This window comes from Homo sapiens, chromosome 8 (assembly GCF_000001405.40).
Source record: "Homo sapiens chromosome 8, GRCh38.p14 Primary Assembly".
Classification (NCBI taxonomy): Eukaryota; Metazoa; Chordata; class Mammalia; order Primates; family Hominidae; genus Homo; species Homo sapiens.
In genome coordinates this window covers 69,909,057-69,914,315 of record NC_000008.11, presented here as the reverse complement: position 1 = coordinate 69,914,315, position 5,259 = coordinate 69,909,057, and positions in this window count along the sequence as shown.

Sequence of the window (5,259 nt, the reverse complement as noted above, 5' to 3'; positions counted from 1 at the left end):
CCCAGGCTGGAGTGCAGTGGTGTGATCTCAGCTCACTGCAACCTCCACCTCTTGGGTTCAAGCAATTCTCATGCCTCAGCTTCCCGAGTAGCTGGGATTACAGGCATGTGCCACCATGCCAGGCCAATGTTTGTATTTTTAGTAGAGACAAGGTTTCGCCATGTTGGTCAGGCTGGTCTCAAACTCCTGACCTCAAGTGATCCACCTGCCTTGGCCTCCCAAAGTGCTGGGACTACTGGCGTGAACCACCGTGCCTGGCCTGATTTTTATTTTTTTAAATTTATATAAAAGGAACTGGCAAAAATTTAGCTTTGCAAAGGCATGACATCATTGAAATGAATGTAGCTATCTTATGTTGAAGTTGTGAAATGCCTCAAGTTAGCAGCTTGCCTGGTGTCTGACAAATATCAAATGCCTTTAGAAAACTTTAAATATCCTGTTCACTGTGGTGCCACAGAATGTCTATGTTGTTGGAGAACAAGATCAATTCTTTAGAGATCCCTGTTCATGTAGGATTACTAATTCCATAAATGAGCACAAACTGCCATTATCCTTAGACTTGTTCAGTTAGGATAGTCGAAAGGTAAACCCTTGAACTAGTCTTTTATTTATTTCTTTATTTCTTTTTTTATTTATTATACTTTAAGTTCTAGGGTACAGGTGCACAAAGTGCAGATTTGTTACATAGGTATACATGTGCCATGCTGGTTTGCTGCACCCATTAACTTGTCATTTACATTAGGTGTTTCTCCTAATGCTATCCCTCCTCCTGTCCCCCACCCCATGACAGGCCCCAGGTATAATGTTCCCCGCCCTGTGTCCATGTGTTCTCATTGTTCAGTTTCCACCTATGAGTGAGAACATGCTGTGCTTGGTTTTGTGCCCTTGTGATAGTTTGCTCAGAAGGATGGTTTCCAGCTGCATCCATGTCCCTGCAAAGGACATGAACTCATCCTTTTTCATGGCTGCATAGTATTCCATGGTGTATATGTGCCACAGTTTCTTAATCCAGTCTATCATTGATGGATATTTGGGTTGGTTCCAAGTCTTTGCTATTGTGAATAGCACCGCAGTAAACATACATGTGCATGTGTCTTTATAGTAGCATGATTTATAATCCTTTGGGTACATACCCAGTAATGGGATTGCTGGGTCAAATGGTATTTCTAGTTCTAGATCCTTGAAGAATCGCCACACTGTCTTCCACAATGGTTGAACTAATTTACACTCCCACCAACAGTGTAAAAGCATTCCTATTTCTCCACATCCTCTCCAGCATCTGTTGTTTCCTGACTTTTTAATGATCGCCATTCTAACTGGCATGCGATGGTATCTCATTGTGGTTTTGATTTGCATTTCTCTGATGATCAGTGATGATGAGCATTTTTTCATATGTCTGTTGGCTGCATAAATGTCTTCTTTTGAGAAGTGTCTGTTCATATCCTTTGCCCACTTTTTGATGGGGTTGTTTGTTTTTTCTTGTAAATTTATTTAAGTTCTTTGTATATTCTGGGTATTATCCCTTTTGTCAGATGGATAGGTTGCAAAAATTTTCTCCCATTCTGTAGGTTGCCTATTCACTCTGATGGTAGTTCCTTTTGCTGTGCAGAAGCTCTTTAGTTTAATTAGATCCCATTTGTCTATTTTGGCTTTTGTTGCCATTGCTGTTTGTGTTTTGGTCATGAAGTCTTTGCCCACGCCTATGTCCTGAATGGCATTGCCTAGGTTTTATTCTAGGGTTTTTATGGTTTTAGGTCTAACATTTAAGTCTTTAATCCATCTTGAATTAATTTTTGTATAAGGTGTAAGGAAGGGATCCAGTTTCAGTTTTCTCCATATGGCTAGGCAGTTTTCCCAGCACCATTTATTAAATAGGGAATCCTTTCCCCATTTCTTGTTTTTGTCAGGTTTGTCAAAGATCAGTGGTTGCAGATGTGTGGTATTATTTCTGAGGGCTCTGTTCTGTTCCATTGATCTATATATCTGTTTTGGTACCAGTACCATGCTGTTTTGGTTACTGTGGCCTTGAAGTATAGTTTGAAGTCAGGTAGTGTGATGCCTCCAGGTTTGTTGTTTTTGCTTAGAATTGTCTTGGCAATGTGGGCTTTTTTTTGGTTCCATATGAACTTTAAAGTAGTTTTTTCCAATTCTGTGAAGAAAGTCACTGGTAGCTTGATGGGGATGGCATAGAATCTATAAATTACCTTGGGCAGTATGGCCATTTTCACGATATTGATTCTTCCTATCCATGAGCATGGAATGTTCTTCCATTTGTTTGTGTCCTCTTTTATTTTGTTGAGCAGTGGTTTGTAGTTTTCCTTGAAGAGGTCCTTCACATCCCTTGTAAGTTTGATTCCTAGGTATTTTATTCTCTTTGTAGCAATTGTGAATGGGAGTTCACTCATGATTTGGCTCTCTGTTTGTCTGTTATTGGTGTATAGGAATGCTTGTGATTTTTGCACATTGAGTTTGTATCCTGAGACTTTGCTAAAGTTGCTTATCAGCTTAAGGAGATTTTGGGCTGAGACGATGGGGTTTTCTAAATATACAATCATGTCATCTGCAAACAGGGACAATTTGACTTCCTCTTTTCCTAATTGAATACCCTTTATTTCTTTCTCCTGCCTGATTGCCCTGGCCAGAACTTCCAACACTGTGTTGAATAGGAGTGGTGAGAGATGGCATCCCTGTCTTGCACTAGTTTTCAAAGAGAATGCTTCCAGTTTTTGCCCATTCAGTATGATATTGGCTGTGGGTTTGTCATAAATAGCGCTTATTATTTTGAGATACATTCCATTAATACCTAGTTTATTGAGAGTTTTTAGCATGCAGGGCTGTTGAATTTTGTTGAAGGCCCTTTCTGCATCTATTGAGATAATCATGTGGTTTTTGTCATTGTTTCTGTTTATGTGATAGATTATGTTTATTGATTTGCATATGTTGAACCAGTTTTCCATCCCAGAGATGAAGTCGACTTGATCGTGGTGGCTAAACTTTTTGATGTGCTGCTGGATTCGGTTTGCCAGTATTTTATTGAGGATTTTCTCATCGATGTTCATCAGGGATATTGGTCTAAAATTCTCTTTTTTTTGTTGTGTCTCTGCCAGGCTTTGGTATCAGGATGATGCTGGCCTCATAAAATGCATTAGGGAGGATTCCCTTTTTTTCTATTGATTGGAATAGTTTCAGAAGGAATGGTACCAGCTCCTCTTTGTGCCTCTGGTAGAATTCGGCTGTGAATCCGTCTGGTCCTGGACTTTTTTTGGTTGGTAGGCTATTAATTATTGCCTCAATTTCAGAGCCTGTTATTGGCCTATTCAGAGATTCAACTTCTTCCTGGTTTAGTCTTGGGAGGGTGTATGTGTCCAGGAATTTACCCATTTCTTCTAGATTTTCTGGTTTATTGGCATAGAGGTGTTTATAGTATTCTCTGACGTTAGTTTGTATTTCTGTGGTATCAGTGGTGGTATCCCCTTTATAATTTTTTATTGTGTCTATTTGATTCTTCTCTCTTTTCTTCTTTATTAGTCTTGCTAGTGGTCTATCAATTTTGTTGATTTTTTCCAAAATCCAGCTCCTGGATTCATTGATTTTTTGAAGGTTCTTTTTGTGTTTCTATCTCCTTCAGTTCTGCTCTGATTTTAGTTATTTCTTGCCTTTTGCTAGCTTTTGAATTTGTTTGCTTTTGCTTCTCTAGTTCTTTTAATTGTGATGTTAGGGTGTTGATTTTAGATCTTTCCTGTTTTCTCTTGTGAGCATTTAGTGCTATAAATTTCCTTGTACACACTGCTTTAAATGTGTCCCAGAGATTCTGGTATGTTGTGTCTTTGTTCTCATTCGTTTCAAAGAACATCTTTATTTCTGCCTTCATTTCGTTATTTACCCAGTAGTAAGGAGTATTCAGTATTCAGGGGCAGGTTGTTCAGTTTCCATGTAGTTGTGCGGTTTTGAGTGAGTTCTTAATCCTGAGTTCTAATTTGATTGCACTGTGGTCTGGGAGACAGTTTGTTGTGATTTCTGTTCTTTTACATTTGCTGAGGAGTGCTTTACTTCCAACTATGTGGTCAATTTTGGAATAAGTGTGATGTGGTGCTGAGAAGAATGTATATTCTGTTGATTTGGGGTGGAGAGTTCTGTAGATGTCTATTTGGTCTGCTTGGTGCAGAGCTGAGCTCAAGTCCTGGATATCCTTGTTAACCTTTTGTCTTGTTGATCTAATATTGACAGTGGGGTGATAAAGTCTCCCATTATTATTGTGTGGGACTCTAAGCCTCTTTTTATGTCTCTAAGGACTTGCTTTATGAATTTGGGTGTTCCTGTATTGGGTGCGTATACATTTAGGAAGGTTAGCTCTTCTTGTTGAATTGATCCCTTTACCATTATGTAATGGCCTTCTTTGTCTCTTTTGATCTTTGTTGGTCAAAAGAGGGACCTGACTGTTAGGAGGAAAACTAACAAACAGAAAGGAATAGCATCAACATCAACAAAAAGGACATCCACACCAAAACCCCATCTGTAGGTCACCAGCATTAAAGACCAAAGGTAGATAAAACCACAAAGATGGGGAGAAACCAGAGCAGAAAAGCTGAAAATTCTAAAAACCAGAGTGCCTCTTCTCCTCCAAAGGATCGCAGCTCCTCACCAGCAATGGAACAAAGCTGGTCCCTCTTTTGATCTCTGTTTTATCAGAAACTAGGATTGCAACCCCTGCTTTTTTTTTGCTTTCCATTTGCTTGGTAGATCTTCCTCTATCCCTTTATTTTGAGCCTGTGTGTCTCTGCATGTGAGATGGGTCTCCTGAATACAGCACACTGATGGGTCTTGACTCATTATCCAATTTGCCAGTCTGTGTCTTTTAATTGGGGCATTTAGCCCATTTATATTTAAGGTTATTATTGTTATGTGTGAATTTGATCCTGTCATTATGATGTTAGCTGGTTATTTTGCCTGCTAGTTAATGCAGTTTCTTCCTAGCATCAGTGGTCTTTACAATTTGGCATGTTTTTGCAGTGGCTGGTACTGATTGTTCCTTTGCATGTTTAGTGCTTCCTTCAGGAGCTCTTGTAAGGCAGGACTGGTGGTGACAAAATCTCTCAGCATTTGCTTGTCTGTAAAGGATTTTATTTCTCCTTCACTTATGAAGCTTAGTTTGGCTGGATATGAAATTCTGAGTCAAAAATTCTTTTCTTTAAGAATGTTGAATATTGGCTTCCACTCTCTTCTGGCTTGTAGAGTTTCTGCTGAGAGATCTCCTGTTAA